Here is a 20,314-nt window from a genome sequence, read left to right on the forward strand (position 1 = left end):
CAGGTCTTTTCCTAGGGTGTTGGTCACCTCAGACTAGATGCACTGCATATAACTCTTAGAAGTTAAGTACATCTCATCTCTTCATTAACAAGATTGGTGGTTACTAAAGTTTGATGACCAACAATCACCTGGATTTTTTTAATATACAGACTCACAGAACCCACCAAGATTCACTAAATCAAAATCTTGAGAGGGAAACGGGGGATTTATTTTTAGATACTTTCCAGGCTGATGATCCAGGTCCAGAAACTACCAAATAATACTATAAATTCTTTTAACTTTGTCTTAAGCCTCAAGCACATGATAGCAGAAAGCAAGCAGATTTTGGAAACATTGACAGTTCTCAAAACCTGGCTTTGTGGTTGTGCAGTGTTCAGAAAAGCATTTAAATGTTTCTCACTGCTGAAAGGGACTATACTCGCCTGTTAGTGATTTACATACCACAGTTAGAACAGGTCCAATGCAAAGTGGTACCCAATAAACAGAAGCTATTTTACTAATGACTTCCATGTAGTCCATTGAATTCAACCCACGACCTCTTACCCAATACAATATCTACCTAAGAAACAAGATAATATAAGTCTTCTCTTCCTGCTTCAACTATTCAGATCTTTATAAACTGTTATATTATCTGGGAGATCTTTCCACCCTGCAGAGACTAACCCAACAACTTACCTCCTGTTTTCCATTAACCCAACTGCTGGTTTTTTAGTGGAAAAAAAAAGCTTCTGGTTGACAAAACTACTCTACAGAATGCTTCAAATCTATAAACTTAAAAAGCTGGTTTGTGACAGACCAGGCAGCTGACTCAGGCCCGAATTTAATGCGATCAATGCAACTTTTGTCTTATTAAATAGGGGAGATTAAAAATTTTAAATATGGTTTACAAAGGAAATTCATCTATACTTACACCACCTACCCACAGTTACAGTAAAATATACAATACAGTTAGAAAGACTGAGCTGAAAAAAATCTTTCTAAATCACCCTTCATTCAAAATCATCAAGGGCTCACAATTACCTAGAAGAGATAGTCATATAATTTTAAGACTGCAAGGAAATGCAGAGATTATTTTTTCCAGGCCTTCGCCAACTTAATCTCTCTTTCCAAGTTCAACTCCTATGTATGGTCACATAACATCTTTCACATGAAATATTTCTCTCACTTTTCCCTCCTCCTCTTTTCTTATCTTGGTGCACTCTACAGCCTGCTTCCCTTCACCACTTCCACCCAACACCTATCCAAATCCTCCTCCCATTCAGCCTGAAGACAGCTCCTGGGAGCTTTTCCTAACTACTACCCTCTTCTGAACTGTAGACCCACTATGCATGCTTTTCATGTGGCTCTAAATAATAATATATCACCTCATTCTATCATATACCTTTCCATATGAATATCACCATACAATCACAAAGAACTCCAGTCTCCAACGTATGTATATATACACACAATTTTGTGTTTGATCCTTTTTGTTTTTTGAGACAGGGTCTCATTCTCATCGCCCAGGCTGGAGTGCAGTGGTTTGATCATAGATCCGTGCAACCTTCAACTTCCAGGCTCAAGCGATCCTCCCACTTTAGCCCCTCGAGGACCTGCGACTAAAGGCACATGCCACCATGCTCAGCCAACATTCTTTTTAATAGATGGATAAACATGTCCTAGGTTAAAAGGACTACTATGGCTAGTCACCCACATGTTTTGATTTCCAACCTAGTTCTCTTTCTACATATTTCAAGACAGATATAAATACTTAAACTCTCTGGTTCTCAAAGGGCATGTGAAGCACCCCAGCAATGCACAGGAATACTGTGGAACACTTTACATTTTTGAGGAAGACACATCAACCCATCGTTGAATCTGCCAGACACTGGGTGCACTGCCAGCTTGAGGTGGTTCGTAGTTTCAACATTAGATTGTGTTACACTCCTCGTGATGGATTGTGTTATACTCCTCGCGATGGCATATTTTTGTGAAGCTGGGTTTGCAGTAGTTGCTGTGGTAAAAAGCAAGTACTGCACAAAAATCAATGACAGGAAATGAGGGTGGTGGTGTCCAACCAATGACAACATTTGAAAAGCTATGCAGCAACAGGTCTACATAACCCAACAGTAACAAATTATAGTTATATAAGAACAAATTTAACTTTTTTCTTTTAATTTATGTGAATAACTTTTTAAATGGCTACCAAGTTGCTAAGATATAAATACTTAGCGGGCAGGCGCAGTGGCTCACGCCTGTAATCCCAGCACTTTGGGAGGCCGAGGCGGGCGGATCACCTGAGGTCAGGAGTTTGAGACCAGCCTGACCAATATGGTGAAACCCCGTCTCTATTAAAATTACAAAAATTAGCCGGGCATTGCTGGCGTGCATCTGTAGTCCCAGCTACTTGGGAGGCTAAGGCAGGAGAATCGCTTGAACCCAGGAGGCGGAGGTTGCAGTGAGCCGAGATCGCGCCACTGCACTCCAGCCTGGGCGACAGAGCGAGACTCCTTCTCAAAACAAAAACAAAAACAATAAAAAAAACAAAACTTACTTAGCTATTTGGACCTTGCTACTTAATACAGAGAACTATGAGGTATTTCTTGACTTAGGAGTACCGTGAAAAATTAAAGACAGTATAAGTGTTATAAATTGAGAAAGTTTGGAAACTTCTACTTTTCAGTGTCAAATATGAAAAAGTTCCTGTGGTAAGGAACTATATGCTAAGTTCCCAATATATGACAGTGCACAGCATAGTTATAACTAAATTAAAAGTTGTATATTGGTCTCCCAGAGGCCAAATCTGGCCTGTGCATTGTTTTTTTAAAATCTTGAGCCAACACTTAAAAGTCAGGAAAATTCATATACAAATATAAATTTCTGGCTTTTATTTGCAAAACAGAGTATCAAGCAACAATGGACTTGCATTACTGCAGGGCAATCATCAGCTTCAGCTGAGAAGCAGCTAACTCCTTTTGAAGAGGCATGTGTTTCCCAGTTTGTTTCAGTCCCTACCACTCACATCACCTAAGCAAGGGCAATTACACCCGACTAGCTGCACTAATATCATCTGTCTGTCCCCCTCGAGTCCTGTGACTCCTCATCTTTACAAAGTAGAGGCAATGATTTATTTATTGAAAACAAAAGCCTCATTATATAATGAAAAGTAAAGGAAATAAGTATTAGGCAATAACTGGGAGAGAAGAGACTGTACCTTTGCTCCCTTACTCTGCCACAACCTAGCTATATGAGTCAACTCAAATCACTTCTCTTGCTTCAGTTTCCCGATCTGTCAAATAAGCAGAACTTGTTCTATTGAGTTCATAGGATACAATAAAATTTTATTTATTTGCTTTGGCACCAAAAACCTTTTAAATGCTGTTTTAAAAAAGTCTTCAAAACTACTTTTAAAAATCTATATTCCAAATACCTCTGAAATTATCTCTTGTACTCACCTTGAGAATTTTAACAACAACTTTTTCATTATTTGTGATGTTGATGGCTTCAAATACTTCACTGTATTTACCTCGGCCTAATTTTCGAACCAGCTGGTAGTCATCTTGATTTCTGTGGACACAAACAAAATGACTTATAAACGGTCAAATTATCAGCATCAATTCAAATTACAGGAATCTATTACCAGCAGCTGTAATAGAAATAAGAAGTATTTCAAACAATTCCCAAATAGGTTTTTTTTTTTTTTTTTTTTTTTTTGGAGATGGAGTCTCACTCTGTCGCCCAGGCTAGAGTGCAGTGGCGCGATCTCTGCTGACTGCCAGCTCCACCTCCCGGGTTCACACCATTCTCCTGCCTCAGCCTCCCGAGCAGCTGGGACCACAGGCGCCTGCCACCATGCCCGGCTAATTTTTTGAATTTTTAGTAGAGACGGCGGGTCCTCACCGTGTTAACCAGGATGGTCTCGATCTCCTGACCTCGTGATTCGTCCGCCTCGGCCTCCCAAAGTGCTGGGATTACAGGCGTGAGCCACCGCGCCTGGCCCATTGTATTTTTTTTTTTTTTAAATTAGGCCAATTAAAATACGTGTGTTTCAAATCCTAGAATTAGAAAAACTTATACCTTTCAATTATTCTTTCTAATCCCAAACTGTTTACATCTTTATTGGCACATGACATGGAGCTGGCTTGTATTAAGGTTTGTTCTAAATACGTTTGTCTCCAACAAGAGACAGCTTTCCCCAAGAGAATAATTTTTTTTTTTTTTTTTTTTTTTGAGACGGAGTCTTGCTCTGTCGCCCAGGCTGGAGTGCAGTGGCGTGATCTCGGCTCGCTGCAAGCCCCGCCTCCCAGGTTCACGCCATTCTCCTGCCTCAGCCTCCCCTAGTAGCTGGGACTACAGGCGCCCACCACCACGCCCGGCTAATTTTTTTGTATTTTTAGTAAAGACGGGGTTTCACCGTGTTAGCCAGGATGGTCTCGATCTCCTGACCTTGTGATCCGCCCGCCTTGGCCTCCCAAAGTGCTGGGATTACAGGCGTGAGCCACCGCACCCGGCCGGAGAATAATTTTTATATATTCTTGTCCCTTAGTGCTTGGTCCAGTGTTGGCACTTAGCAGGAACTAAAAACATTTTGCAAGACTGTTTCAATCTAGCCACACTTTGGCAGCAGCTGATTTTTAACAGGCCTCTTTGAAGGTAAATGGCTTTCAAATGTATAGGCTTAATCTATTTGCCCTCCAGGGCAAGCTCTGGGGATAGTCCATGCGTAGTACGAAGCACATTATAGATTGTAAACTATAATCAGCGATCCCCTCCTCTACATATACCCATATTCTGTGACCAATAAGCAACATCAGAGGTAATAAACAGAGGTAGAATAAGGGAAATGCCAACATTTTCCTCCTGCCCCTGCCTGCTTCCAATGTAGAGCGCTTTGCTCTGAAGAATGACAAACACAGTTCCAATAAGGCCTAAATTCTATCCTACTGGATAGAATCCTCTGGACCTACTAAGTATCCAATATGAACCAAATCAACCACCTCAACCATTCATTTTCCTCAAGTAGCTAAAAAGAAAGTGAATGAAAAGACAAAAGGTACTAAAAACAATGGACAACATAATAATCATGGCAGGTGTAGGGGAAGAATGCTCCTACTTCTGGTTGAGTTCTCTTCCTATGGGAGGGCATACAAAACAAATGCCAGCAAGCAAACAGAACCATGCCAAAAGCCCAAAAGGGCTCTTTAGTGCCATTTAAGCAGAACCAAGTGCAAAGCACTCAATTTGAAGATAGCGGCTGAAATTCCTATAGTAAACACAGTGTCACCTAGAGTCCAAAGCCTGTGACATAAGAGGAGAATTGTTAGATTATCAGTAATAACAACATTTATTGGTACTAAACCACACTGGCATTTAATGGTGTCTTTACAGCATACAGTGCCTCTGTATTCAGAGGCAATGTATTTACTGTTAAGAATCATGGCATACTCAAATTAGCTGGGTAGGGTGGAAGGTGCCTGTAATCCCAGCTACTCGAGAGGCTGAGGTGGGAGAATCACGTGAACCCAGGAGGCGGAGGCTGCAGTGAGCCGAGATCACACCACTGCACTGCAGCCAGGGCAACAGAGCAAGACTCATTTCCACACACACACATACACAAATTCATGGCATACTCAAGATTAAAAATACGCCCTATGACAATTTAGGGAAGCCATCCACTAACCACTTACAGGTTACAGAAATCACATGCAGTCAGATATAAAATACAGCATACAGGAGCTGTAGCTTTAGTTTTCAAATTGCTTTCTTTTGCACTTGAATGTCAAAATGCTTTTATCACAAAAGTATGATCTGAACAATTAAATGTCTACCACATTGGGACAGGAAATGCAAACATCCAAATGAGTCTGCACAGAGAATTAGGAGGGCAAACACAGCTGTTCAGGCAGACTACAACTGTTCAAGATAGAATTTGGGCTGAATTCCATGCTAAGACATGCCTAGTCTCAGGATAAGGGCAAATGTTTAAGAATTTAATTGTTTCTCATCAGAAAGAAGTTACCTCTTTGGAGAACTGTTTCGTCCTCCTGTATTAACACGAAACAACATTCTCTACCTCAAAAATACTTTATATAAGACTTTGGTGTTTTCAAAGTCTCTCAAGTATCACTTCTCACTGATCTGCAATGCCCTTGGCTTGATAAGCAAGCTGATAGGTAACTTTTTGTTGCCAGGTGCCCATACAGAATACCGTCATGCGTTATTTAATGACATTCTGAGAAATGTGTTAAACATCAGAGTGTTTACACAAACCTACATGGTATGGCATATTACATACCTAGGGTATGGCCTACGGCTCCTAGGATACAAATGTGTACCGTAATAAATACTTTAGGCAATTGTAACACAATGGTATTTGTGTATCTAAACGTAGAAAAGGTAATGAATGCACTGTTGATGTTACGATGACATCACTAGGCCACAGACATTTTTCAGCTCTCTTATAATCTTATGGAACCACTGTCCTACATGTGGTCTGTCATTAATTCAAACTTTGTTATGTGGTGCACGACTGCATATACATCATAGAAAAGGATAAGAAACTAAAATGATTTTTAAATGGTAAGCCCATTAAAATTGTTCACTTGCCAAAGCAACTCTGCTTCCTCACTGCAAAACCAAATTTTCAGCTCAAAAGAAAACACAAATTGGGCTTTGATCCTGAGGTATACACATACAGAGTCACGGAGGTTTTCTGACAAAAACTACTCAACAGATCCACAAGATTCAGCCCTTTGAGTGAGTATAATGAAGTCAACAAAAACAATTACCCCCATTCCACCACATGTGACTCGTAATCCCAGTATTCTCGAGGTCTGTGTGTATTAACATCTGTGTAAACTCTGGCCCTGCTTGGCACGGGTCCCGACATGTCAGACAGGTTGGCGGACAAAGCTGGACTTGATGTTTGGAGATCTGGCAGTCACTGTGTTCAGAAGCAGCTGGGGGTAAGACCTTGTTTCAGACCTGTTTTCTTCAAACTGCAGAAACAAAATGCACAAAGTCCAAGGAATCATTTACAGAAGGTATATGGGAAGGAAATAATCTTACAAATAATAATGGCCTGAAATATACCTCTGGCTCTCCTACCTACAGCCAATAAATATAGCTCAACTGTGTTAACCAGTGCTTCCTATAACATGAGAAGAAAAATCCCAAGAAATACAGTAAACTGATATTTGCTTTAATCATATTTTGCCAAATATCCTGTTACCTCTGCAGGCAAAATTTGAATGATTTTTGTAAGACAGCCTGGAAGAGAAAAATGGCATTGAGGATAGATACATCAGCATTACCACTAGTTATATATTCTACAAAAGGTATTGGCAAGAAAAATACTTTCTTTTCAGCAGCTTTCTGTAACTTAAGTAGGGGTGCTAAAAGGTTCTAGAATGGCGGCAAAGCTAAGAGTACAACTTGCCATTCTGACTCATATTTGATGAAACCAGGAAGAGAATAAAGGCTTGTTCTCATACATCAAAGCTCCATGTCATCTTATACCAATCCAAATCTTTTGGGGGAACCTTAAGGTAATAATCAGTAGAACCTTGATCACCATTTGAAAGACACACTTGGTTTCATTAAATTTAAAAACAGAAATCAGTAATATTCTCTTTATATTTAATACAGGAGCTTAAAAACTGGTATAAAACAGTAATACAGATTAGCTGAGCTAATGCAAAATTTGACACCGGGGGAAAATAAGTAAGATGTTAGAAATATGCTATCAAATCAGGTTCCTTTCCAATGATGTCTTCCCTATCTCCTACAGCATGTGCTGATTCCCCTCATTATGCATTTAGATGAAATTGTATTGAGTCTCCAGATTGTGATAACGTGAGAAGGATATAACACGTATGCAAGTCTCCTGGCTGAGACAGCATAACTTCAATTTGTATGTGTGTATGTGTTTTAAGACAGGGTCTTATTCCACTGCCCAGACTGGAATGCAGTGGTGTGATCATGGCTCACTGAAGCCTCAACTTCCTGGACTCCGGTGATTCTTTCACCTCAGCCTCCCAGGTAGCTGAGACTACAGGCACGCACCACCACCCTCAGCTAATTTTCTGTATTTTCAGTAGAGACGGTGTTTCACCATGTTGCCCAGGCTGGTCTTGAACTCCCAGGCTCAAGCAATCCTCCCACCTCAGCCTCCCAAAGTGCTGAGATCACAGATGTGAGCCACCGCACCCAGCCATAACTTCAATTCAATTACCAGGAAACATTCAGAAAAAGAGGAAGTGTCTATTTAAAAAGGGGGAAGGGGTACTATACTTCTAAAACATGTCCACAGCATAAAAGACAAATGGAGGCTAAAGAGACATTGCATAAATGCAATACTCTAGACTGTATCCCATACTGCAGGAGGTGGAGGGGGATGCTATAAAAAACAATATCGACAGAACTGGAATTCAGAGGGTATTAAATTATTGTATCAATGTAAATTTGTGAAGTTGGTACATAATCACAATAGTTAAGAGAATATACCTATTCTTTTTTTTTTTTTTTTGAGATGGAGTTTCGCTCTTGTTGCTCAGGCTGGAGTGCAATGGCGTGATCTTGGCTCACCACAACCTCTGCCGCCTCCCAGGTTCATGTGATTCTCCTGCCTCAGCCTCCCGAGTAGCTGGGATTACAGGCATGCGCCACCATGCCTGGCTAATTTTGTATTTTTAGTAGAGATAGGGTTTCTCTATGTTGGTCAGGCTGGTCTCAAACTCCCGACCTCAGGTGATCCGCCCTCCTCGGCCTCCCAAAGTGCTAGGATTACAGGCGTGAGCCACCTCGCCCAGCCCAAGAATATGTCTATTGTTAAGAAATTTTCCTGAAGTAATTAGAAGTAAACAGCCATGATGCATATAATCTACCCTAAAATGATTCAGGAAAAAAATGTGCCCACACGTTTACATGTGTATATATATAGCACACATGACTGCACACTCACAAATGATAAAACAAGCTGGGTAAAATATTACAATAGGTAAACGTGCGTAAAGGGAATAGAGATGCCCTTTGTACTATTTTTATTTACTTTTTGTTGAAATCTTCTTATTTGAAACAAGGTCTCCCTCTGTAGGCCAGGCTAGAGTACAGTGGTCTGATCACAGCTCACTGCAGCCTTGACCTCCCAGGCTCAATCAATCCTCCCACCTCTGCCTCCCAAGTAGTTGGGACCACAGGCGTGGGCTACCACAGCTGGCTAATTAAATAAATTTTTTTTTTGTAAAGATGGGGTTTCCCTATGTTGCCCAGGCTGGTCTCAAACTCCTGGGTTCAAGTGATGCTCCCACCACAGCCTCCCAAAGTACTGTGATTATAGGAGTGATCCACCATACCCAGCTTGTTGAAACACTTTTTTAAATTGTGGTAAAATATACATAACATAAACTTTATGGCCAGGCACAGTGGCTCACTTTGGGAGGCTTAAGAGGGTGGATCGCTTGAACCCAGGAGTTCGCAACCAGTCTGGGCAACATGGTAAAACCCCATCTCTACTGAAAATACAAAAAATTAGCCAGGTGTGATGGTGTCTGCCTGCAGTCCCAGCTACTTGGGAGGCTGAGGCAGGAGAATCACCAGAGACCAGGAAGTCGAGGCTACAGTGAGCTGTGATTGCACCACTGCACTCCAGCCTGGGTGACAGGAGAGAGACCTCATCTAAAAAAAATAAAAACTGCCATTTTATCCACATTTAAACCTAAAGCTCAGTTGCATTAAGTATATTCACATTCTTGTGCAGTAATCACCAGATCATCCATTTCTACAAATTTTTACCATCCCAAATGAAAACTATGTATCCACTAAACACTAATTTTCCCTCCCCCAACTCTTTGCAACCACTATTCTATTTTCTGCCTGAGCTGGCTATTCTAGGAACCTCATATAAGTGGAATCAGACAATATTTGTCCTTTGTTTTGTTTATTTAATTTAGCATAATGTCTTCAAGGCTGATCCATGTTGTAGCATGTGTTAGAATTCCAATCCTTTTAAAGGCTGAATGATATTGCACTGTGTATATATATACACACACACACACACACACACACACACCACATTTTGCTTATCCATTTATCTGCTGATGGACACTTGAGTTGCTTCCACAGCTTGGCTATTGTAAATAATGCTGCTATGAACATAGGTGTACAAACATCTGTTTGAGACCTCGCTTTCAAATCTTTTATGTATATATCCAGAAGTGGAACTGCTGAACCATGTAGTAATTCTATGTTAATTTTTTGAAGAACCAGCATATTGTTTCAACAAGCTGGGCACGGTGGCTCACTCCTATACAGCAACTGTATCATTTTACACTCCCAGGAACAGTGCAAAGGCTACAACTTCTCTACATCCTTACTAACACTTGTTATTTTCTGTTTTTTGCTTGTTTTTATAGAGACAGGGGTCTTGCTTATGCCCAGGCTGGTCTTGAGCTCCTGGCCTCAAGGGATCCTCCCACCTCGGCCTCCCAAAGTGCTCTCAAAATAGACTGTGCCTGGCCTATTTTTTGGTTTTCTTTTCTTCTTCTTCTTTTTTTTTTTTCAGTAACAGCCCTCCTAATGAGTATGAAGTTGTATCTCATTGACTGTGATTTTAATTTGCATTTCCCTAATGATTAATGATGTTGAGCATCTTTTTACATGCTTATTGGCCATTTGTATATTTGTTTTGGAGAATGTCTATTCAAAGCTGTTGTCCATTTTTTGATTGGGTTGTTTTGTTTGTTGACGATGCATTTGTTAACTATACTGTTTTTTTGTTGCTTACAAGCTGCTCATCTTTCCAAGGTAAGCTGTAACTTAGCTACCACACCCAAAGAGAAGCCAGAAGAGATACCTCCTTATGCCCATGGTGTCGGCAGCTAAAGGCTTTCAGAAGAATAGCAAGACTGGGATGGAGATTAATTCTCTATTCCTTAACCGTGACAAACACAATTAATGACATTCCACTCCAAATATATGAGATCAAAAGATTCACATGCTGACTTATGAATTCTCCCACCCAAAAAACTGCTGTAACTTGCCTCTGTTCAACTCAAACCTTCTGAGGTTCCATAAATGTACTAAATGACCAGAAAACAACAAAGTAATTCAAGTACCAAAAGTCTTTAAAATTATTTCTATTTCTTTGATTTTGTAAAACCTGGGTGACATTAATCTATCTTCACTTAATATCAGTTAAAACTGTAAACGCACACACACACAAACACATCAAACATGCAAAAACCAGATGTTTTCTTGTAATTTTTCTTCTTCCCAAAGAAATAAGGTCATCTATGTTGTAGGATTGGTGACTCTGTGACTACTATGCCTGCCTTGACAGCAATGAAAGACACTAGGAAAACCGTAGAGAAAGGTGTAGGTGTGAATATGGCCAAAATAGTAGAAACAGCAGCATGAACCCAACAGAAATGCTGTCCCCAGAAATTTATTACTTTTAATATACTAAACTTTTAAATTCTCAGCCTCTCCTCTGACAGGAAACAGTATCTTTCTCTACATAACCTTTACAGCCACTTTACTCTTCTGGTTAACATTTTATACGTGTAAGACAGCCTTCGTCTGTGGATCTCAAAGCCCTTTTCCTATGCTTAAAAGTGATCTCTCTGTTGGGCTTTTCCCAGCTTTGGTTCATCACTTATAAAACCTGTCTAACTGTGCTTGCAGACTGAAGGGAAGATGAAGTGAGATGATCTTCCAGAAAGGGCTTAGAAACATGAAATGCATGTAAATTTGTATTAAGTAATTACTATCCCCTAGCTCCTTAGTGAAAGCTAATAAGCAGAAACCTATCTTTACAGGCTGGAACCTTCATTCTTTAAAATACAAAAATTATAGTAGCCGTGGTTAATTCCCGGCCACTGAGGGCTAACTCCCAAGTATACATGACATTACAAAATGAGTCCTCATTTCTCCCTGGAAACCATCTGACATATGGAGAATAGCCAACTCCTATTACTAGTCATGTACATTCTCATCACCCAGTCTTCTTCTGCTGTTTCAAGGCCCTGGCATCCTCTGTGAGGAGTGGGAAAAGACTAATAACTAATGAAACTCTTGAGATTCTCCAGTACTTGTCTGAATGACCCTTGAAGCTTTGGGGCTCATCAACTGGGACCTAATTTATGAACTAGCAGATCTGATTCTCCACTGGGAAGACAACAAGCTAACTATTTTTGCAGTACCCCCAAAGAGGTGCTTCACCTTACTGTCACGCATACCAAATAATCTGCTTATAGTAAGAAAGGTATTCACATGAATTTCAAATGGCTGGCCTTCATTAATTATACGGGAAAATAAAACAGAGGATTCTTCAACTGTGACTCTGTAATCTCAGATAGATAAAAGGGTACTAAGAGATTGGGGGTTAAGGGATGGTGATAAAAAGGGGATGTGAAGCCCAGTGTGGTGGCTCATACCTATAATCCCAGCACTCTGGCAGGATCACTTGAGCCCAGGAGTTTGAGACCACCCTGGGCAACACAGCGAGACCTCCTCTCTACAAATAACATAAAAATGAGCTGGGTGTAGTGGAGTACAACTGTGGTCCCAGGTACTTGGTAGGCTGAGATGGAAGGATCACTTGAGCCTGGGAGGTCAAGGTTGCAGTGAGCCATGATCTCACCACTGCACTCCAACCTGGGTGACAGAGCAAGACCCTGTCTCAAAAACAAACAAACAAACAAACAAAAAACAAAAACAAGAGGGGATGTGAAAAGACAGAAAAGGGAGGTCAAAGACCAAATATTATCATTATTATTTTTTTGAGACAGGAGACAGGGTCTTGCGCTGTCACCCAGGCTGGAGTGCAGTGGTGCAATCTCGCTCGGCTCACTGAAACCTCCACCTCATCTCCTGGGCTTGAGCAATCCTCCCACCTCAGCCTCCTGAGTAGTTGGGACTATAGCTATGCGCCATCAGGCCCAGCTAATATTTGTATTTTTTGTAGAGACAAGGTTTTGTCATGATGCCCAGGCTGGTCTCAAACTCCTGGACTCAAGTGATCCACCAGCCTCAGCCTCCCGAAGTGCTGAGATTACAGGTGTGAGCCACCATGCCCAACCAAGATAAACATTATCTTATTTAGAAATAGTATTTCACTTATACCTCTGCAAATGCATATGTATATCACATGTAAGCTAACAGGAAGAAAACACACAGCCTACATTTCTCAATTTTTGGTTTGATTCTTCCCTACATTCCTGATTTTGTCCATCCCTTAAATAGATAACCATCTACTATGAAAAAGTACTATCCTAGGCCTTAGGAATATAAGTGAGCAAGGCAGAACAGGGGTGAGACAAGTATGCCATTGAAGATTTTACCTATGGACTAAGGGTAACAGAAATTCATTGAAAAGTTTTAAGCAGAAAAGTGACCCATACATATTGTTTTTAAAATTTTTACTCTGGCTGAGTGTGGGACAGGACTTAGGGAGAAGGCTGTTAACAGTAGCACACGTGAGAGAAATGATGACCTAAGGTGGTGGCATGTGGAGATCAGTGGACTAATATGAGGAACAAAATTTATGGTGTAAAATCAATAGCTCTGAGTGAACTGGAAAATGCTGTATGAAGTGGGAGGTGACTCTTGGATTTCTTGCTTGACAGACTGTTGGTGCCATTCATGGAGATAAGAGTGCACAAGATAGGTTTTGGACTTAAGGTTAAAATGGCTTTGAATCATTCAAACGAAGATTCTGAATAGGCAGTTAGATATTACAAGTCTGGAACTAAGAGTTTCTCAGCTTTAAGTATCTAACTCTTCCAACAACTCTACGAGGCAAGCATTAGTTTCTCTAATCTACAAATAAGAACAGCCTAAGTTCAGTAGCTTGACCAAGAATATCCAATACAGTTACAGCTGGGATTCAAAGACAGTGAGTTGGCCTCCAAGGTTCAAGTCTTCTCACTCCTACAGAACACAATCACTTTCTACTGCACATTCACACACACACACACCAGTCTTCAAATCTTAATTTCTCAATTGGACCCTAAGTTCTACAAAGTTAAGAACCATGTTTAATTTACCTTTTTAATTTATAGTACCTAGCCTAAGGCTTGCATTTTGTAGCACGTTCAGTAAACACTATTTGGTGATCAAATTAATCTTGGTTTATTTTTTAAAAATGAAATGAAAATGAAGTTGCATCCAAAGTATAGGGTGTTCCTAAATACTTCAGGTCATCTGGTACGCAACTAGGAGAACTGGAAAACCAAGTCAAAGGTTCTTGAGTAATTGTTCCCTTCCCTCTCTCTCTTTCCCAATACTACAGCTTCTATTAAATCACAGGACTACAACTAGGATTTGTCTTTTTCCCCTCGATAATTCAAATTAAGAGAATACTGAAGAAACTTGATTTTACCAATTTTTATAGCAGCTTATTTGGAAGATGGAAAAAGTGCCTGAGTCCTAGATATTTGGAAGATCAATTCTCCTCTCCACTGTTCATAATACTAGTATATCTTAAGGCAATCTAACAAAATGCACTGCCTTTCTTATTAAGTTCCATTTTAAATTGTCTTACTTAGTGCTTACTGTTCTCATGTAATTGCATAAAAGGAGGTGTAACTTTAGTGGCTAACCATTTCAGACCACTACATCTACCTTAACACCGTCAGAATGACTTTGAAGACATGGCTAGGTCTTGTATGCTCAACGTTTAGCCTAACAGAAGCCAATTAATCAGCTACGAAAAAAGTATCATGTCAATGAATTTTTCCCGACTGAAGTAAGATCACATCGAAGCCAACTGCATGGGTCTGCATGACCTATTCTTTAATAAAGTATAAGTAAATAAAAAGAAAATGCCATTAAACCATAAGGAAAAATTGTCCATTGCCAAAATCATAAGTTTACTGATATACACTGAATACAGCAGAATTAATTTCAATAAAAACTCCTCTTGCCCTTAGCTAGTCCCTCCTTCTAATCTCTTATGTTCAGTTGTTATTTTTCAATTTGGCAACTAAAAAGAAAACTAGAGGCTTAGTAACAGTCCAATACCAGAAAACTATACAAACAAGTTTGCTTAGTCATTTCTGCTAATGTATTTTTATTGATGAATTTCCTAGTATCAGAAATGGAAAAGATCATTCTAGAACTTTAAGTCAATTTTTGAACTGTAATATAATTAGTTCTTTTTAACCCTAATGTTTATTAGTCTCCATCTTAAAAGGAAAAAAAAAATCTCCTTCTCATCCCTAAATGAACCATAGCAAATGAACAAGATCTCATCATCATCCCGACAGGACAAAGATTTCTATAGCAAAGAATGAGGAATGTGCTTAGATTGCACTGACTGCATGGTTTAGGACTGCTTGTTTAGAGGAAAAGCAGCTATACAGGAAGACACCTTTTATGCACTGCTGCAGAGAATGAACTCTTTTTCCAAGCAATCAGGCAACATAAACTGGTAAGAGACAAACAAGACTTGTGGAACTCAGCGAGACCTTAAATATGTATACTTTTCTACCTTGCTACAGAAGCAAAGAGAAAAATTCAGTCAAACTTGCCCATTTCCCTTTACAAAAGGGGCACTGATTAGAAGGCCAACTTAATACAAAAAAGCACAAGTAGCTAATGTTACCTGAATTACTTATTTCAAATGTCCATACTTAACCTTAATTTCTTTCTTCCTTTCCAATCAAGAGCAGAATGCTCATACATCAAGCATTTACTGAACGTTTACTATGTACCAGGAAATGTGTGCCTGACTGCCAGAAAGGCATTCTTTCTCTTGGTCCTGGAGAAAGTATCTCTGCCCTCAGACAAAGAAAACAGACCATTACAATCTCAAGTGATCAGTGCTTGAAACAATTAAGTCATGGTGGTGTACAGACGTTGAAGGGTATTTAAACTATCACCAACCCATCATTCATTCAACAAATATTTATGGAGTACCTAAAATGGGGAAAAACTGTAAGAGAAAAAAAAAACTGCACTTAAAGTACGCACAGGAATTATTCAGATGGAAAACATTAAAACAAGAAATTGCAAAGCGTAACACTTTAAAGCAAGTTAAGAATTTTAAAGACCTATAATTTTGCACCCTAAAATGACCAAAGGCTGGCACATTTTGTTATCTTCTATAAGAAACACATCATTGGATGCCACATGCAACGTGGCATCAGGTGTAAAAAAGCACCTGATGTGCTTTTTTTGCACATCAGGTCAGCAACCTTTTTATATCTGATTTGGAGACTATTAGTTTACTCGACTGTTACCATTTTGTGCTTAAAACAAACAGTATCATTAATTCACAAGCTTTGGAATTCTTTCTCTTTATTTTCTTTTCTCTACTTCCAACACTAATCAGTTCCTTGTTGCCCAAGCTGGAGTGCAGTGGCACAATCGTAGCTCACTGCCACTTCAAATTCCTGGGCTCAAGTAATCCTCCCACCTCAGCCTCCCAAGTAACTGAGGCTACAGGCATGTGTCACCACACCTGGCCCACTCATCTTTAAATAAGACAGAGAAGTAATTATAGCCAAAAGGGAATAGAAAATGCAAACCCAGAGATATAAGCAAGCAAGGAAGCCTGGAAAGCCTTTGTTGATCCTGAAAATTAGAATTTTGTTCTCACATAAACCAAAGCCCAGGGCTCTCACAAGACAAAAAGTCTAATAGGAGGCCCTCTTCATAAGGTGGGACTTCAGAGGCATACTTCCTAATGGTGAGAGTGACTAGGGAGTGGAAGATCCAGGGAGGAATTAAAGCCCTACTGAAGGGAATATCATATCTTAAGCTTGTTTTAAGGTGGTCTCTGGATTAGTGCCCATGCATACCTGATATAAGCAAGCTCTCCATGGAGGAAAGTACCTTACTGTGGGCCTCAAATGATCACTACAAATATCTATTTTTATTTTTATTATTTTTTATTTTTTTGAGACAGAGTCTCGCTCTGTCACCCAGGCTGGAGTACAGTGGCCTGATCTCAGCTCACTGCAAGCTCTGCTTCCTGGGTTCACGCCATTCTCCTGCCTCAGCCTCCCGAGTAGCTGGGACTACAGGAGTCCGCCACCACGCCCGGCTAATTTTTTTTTTTTTTTTTTTTTTAAGTAAAGACGGGGTTTCACCGTGTTAGCCAGGACGGTCTCGATCTCCTGACCTCGTGATCCACCCGCCTTGGCCTCCCAAAGTGCTGGGATTACAGGTGTGAGCCACCGCACCCAGCCAATTATTTATTTTTAAATACAATGTCCTAGCAGATCTCAAAAAACAAGAGGAAAAATATAGTGAAATCGTTGGATATACTTTTTTTTTTTTTTTTTTTTGCCACAAAGTCTTGTTCTGCCACCCAGGTTAGAGTGCAGTGGCACGATCTCAGTTCATTGCAACCTCTGCCTCCCAGGTTCAAGTGATTCTCCTGCCTCAGCCTCCAGAGTAGCTGGGACTACAGGTGCATGCCACCATGCCCGGCTAATTTTTGTATTTTTAGTAGTGAGGGGGTTTTGCCATGTTTTGGCCAGGCTGGTCTTGAACTTCTGACCTCAAGTGACCCGCCCATCTTGGCCTCCCAAAGTGCTGTGATTATAGGCGTAAGCCACCGTGCCCAGCCAGTTTGATATACTTTTAATTGGTACTAGCAGAAAAGAGAATGGGATAAAGGCAGTAACTGAAGACAGTTGAAAATATCCCAGAAGCAATCAGACACAATCAAATTCCAGAAGCAAACAATTTCCAAACAAGATCAATAAAAAGAAATCCAAAACCAAACATATAATTACAAAATAGCAGGAAAAAACAAAGATGAGTTGGGTGTAATGGCACAGGCCTATAGTCCCAGCTATTTGGGAGGCTGATACAGGAAGATTGCTTGTGCCCAGGAGTTGGAGGCCAGCCTGGGCAAAACAGCAAGACCTTGTCTCAAACAAAAACAAAAAACTAAAGACAAGCAAGTACAGAAAAAGGCAGATTATATTCAAAGAGCAACATTAGAACAGCTGATTTTTCAAAACCAACAATGAAGCCAAGTAGTTTAATACCTGCAGTGTGCTGAAAAAAATAAATAGCCGCCAAATTAAAATTCTGTTATCAAGCAAATGTCTCTAAAGAAAAAAGAAAAATAATCCCATTTTGGAAGGTCTGAGTTGAAAGAAAAAATAAAGAGCAAAAAAGAGGAAAATTTACAGACAGCTCCAAACAAACACTGATTATACAAAAGAATAACAATACCTTGAGGAGCTTTAAAACATAGAATACATAACAATAAAAACACAGTGTATTGAGGAGATTTCAAAGTATTCTTTCTAAAGGTCTTTTATTATATGAAAAGAAGATAAAATTATAATATCAGGTTTTGCTAAGTTATAGCTGCAAGTCACAAGATGTATGACAACTAATTACAGAATAAAAATAGCATATATTTCCAAACCAGAAAGAGGGAAAAGTAAAATCATAAAAAGAATCCAAAAGAATGTTAAGAAGGGAGAAGAAAAAAATCTAGAACATAAGAAGCATAGGGGAAGAAAGTTGAATTGGAATATGATTAATTATATTAAATATAAGTGGAATAAATTATCCAGGTAAAAGACAAAGACTATCATATCAGACTGGATTAAAAAAGAAATCCAAATGAACCAGAATAATCCAAACAATTCTGAAAAATAATAAAGCTGGAAGAATTATACTAACTGATCTTAAACTTATTACAAAGCTATAGTTGTCAAAACAGTGTATTGGCAAAAGGATAATACATAGATCAAGGGAACAGAATAAAGAGTACAGAAATACACTCACACAAACAAGGCCAATTAATTTTTGACAAAGGTACAAAGGCAGTTCAATGGAGAAAGGACATATATACATATATATATAAATATATTATGTATTTTTTTCGAGATAGGGTCTGCCTCTGGTGCCCACGCTGGAGTGCAGGGGCATGATCTCAACTCACTGCAACCTCCGCCTCCTGGGTTCAAGTGATTCTCCTGCCTCAGCCTCCAAAGTAGCTAGGACCACAGGAGTGTGTCACTATGCCCTGCTAATTTTTGTATTTTTAGTAGAGACAGGGTTTCACCATATTGCCTAGGCTGGTCTCAAATTTCTGAGCTCAACTGATCCACCTGCCTTGGCCTCCCAAAGTGCTGGGATTACAGGCATAATAATCTTTTCTATAAATTGTTTTGGAAGACTTGGAGATCAATATGCAAAATCATAAACTTTAATCTAAATCTCACACTTTATATAAAGATAATTCATAATGAATCACAGATATCAATGTAAAACTTGGGTCAGATGCGGTGGCTCATGACTGTATAATCCCAGGCTGGGTGACAAGGCAAGACTCTACCTCTGGGGGGGAAAAAAAAAGATATAAATGTAAAATTATCAAACCTTCTTGCAACCAGGGGTTAGGCAGAGTTTGAAGACATGACACTAAAAGCATGGGCTGTAAAACTGATAAACTGAACTTCATCAACGTTAAAATATTTCTGCTCTGTGAAAGACACTATTAAGAAAATAAGCCAGACACAAGAAGAATGTATTTGCAAATCACAAATCGAATAAAGAACTTGTATCTGTAACATTAAAAAACTCAATAAGAAAACAGCTCAATTTAAAAATGGGCAAAAGACGTGAACATACACACCACAAAAGAAGATATACACATAAGTATATGAAAAGATACACAACACTGCCAGACAGCAGGGAAAATGAAATTAAATCATACAACTACCACTACAGATTTATTAAAATGGCTAAAATTTAAAAAAACAGAAAACAAAACTATACCAAAAGCTGGTGTGGATGCAGAGTAACAGTAACTAATACATTCCTGGTAGGAATGCAAAATGGTTTTGGAAAACAGTTTGGCAGTTTCTTATAGAGTTAAACATGTACTTAAGCATACAACCAGCATTCCCACTCCTAGGTATTTACTCAAGAGAAACGGAAACCCGTATCTACACAAAAACTTATACACAAACATTTAAGGCAGCTTTATTCATAATTGTGAAAAAACAGAAACAACCAAGGTGTCCAACAGTTACATGAACAAACAAATGGTTTGCCATGTGATGCTTAGCAATAAAAAGGAACAAATTACTGATTTGTGCAACAAAATGGATGAATCGTTTTTCTTTTTTTGGTAGAGACAGGGTCTCGCTTTGTTGCCCAGGCTGGTCTCAAACGTCTAGCCTCAAGTAATCCTTTGGCTTCAGTCTCCCAAAGTGCTAGGATTACAGGTGTGAGCTGCTACACCTGACCAACATGGTGAATCTTAAAAGTGAAGAAGCCAGAAACAAAAGCCTACATATTGTATACTTCCATTTATATCAGGGGTCCCCAATCCCCGGGCCATGGGCCTGTACCAGTT

The 20,314-nt window shown here is 39.5% G+C and overlaps 1 protein-coding gene across 5 annotated transcripts in view; it reads right to left on the bottom strand.

Moving 5' to 3' along the window:
- CSNK2A1 (casein kinase 2 alpha 1) overlaps positions 1 to 20,314 on the bottom strand; it is a 71,293-nt gene that overhangs the window by 29,186 nt on the left and 21,793 nt on the right. For 4 of the 5 annotated variants that reach the window (NM_001362771.2, NM_001895.4, NM_001362770.2 and 1 more), the window contains 2 exons: positions 6,768 to 6,977; positions 3,435 to 3,546 (listed from right to left, as the gene is read on the bottom strand). In NM_001362771.2, coding sequence (NP_001349700.1) covers positions 3,435 to 3,546; positions 6,768 to 6,868 — 213 coding nt within the window. In that variant the 5' untranslated portion in view covers positions 6,869 to 6,977. The remainder of the gene's footprint in view (positions 1 to 3,434; positions 3,547 to 6,767; positions 6,978 to 20,314) is intronic. The other variant, NM_177560.3, reaches the window with a different exon arrangement.

The sequence above is a fragment of the Homo sapiens genome, chromosome 20, assembly GCF_000001405.40.
Source record: "Homo sapiens chromosome 20, GRCh38.p14 Primary Assembly".
Classification (NCBI taxonomy): Eukaryota; Metazoa; Chordata; class Mammalia; order Primates; family Hominidae; genus Homo; species Homo sapiens.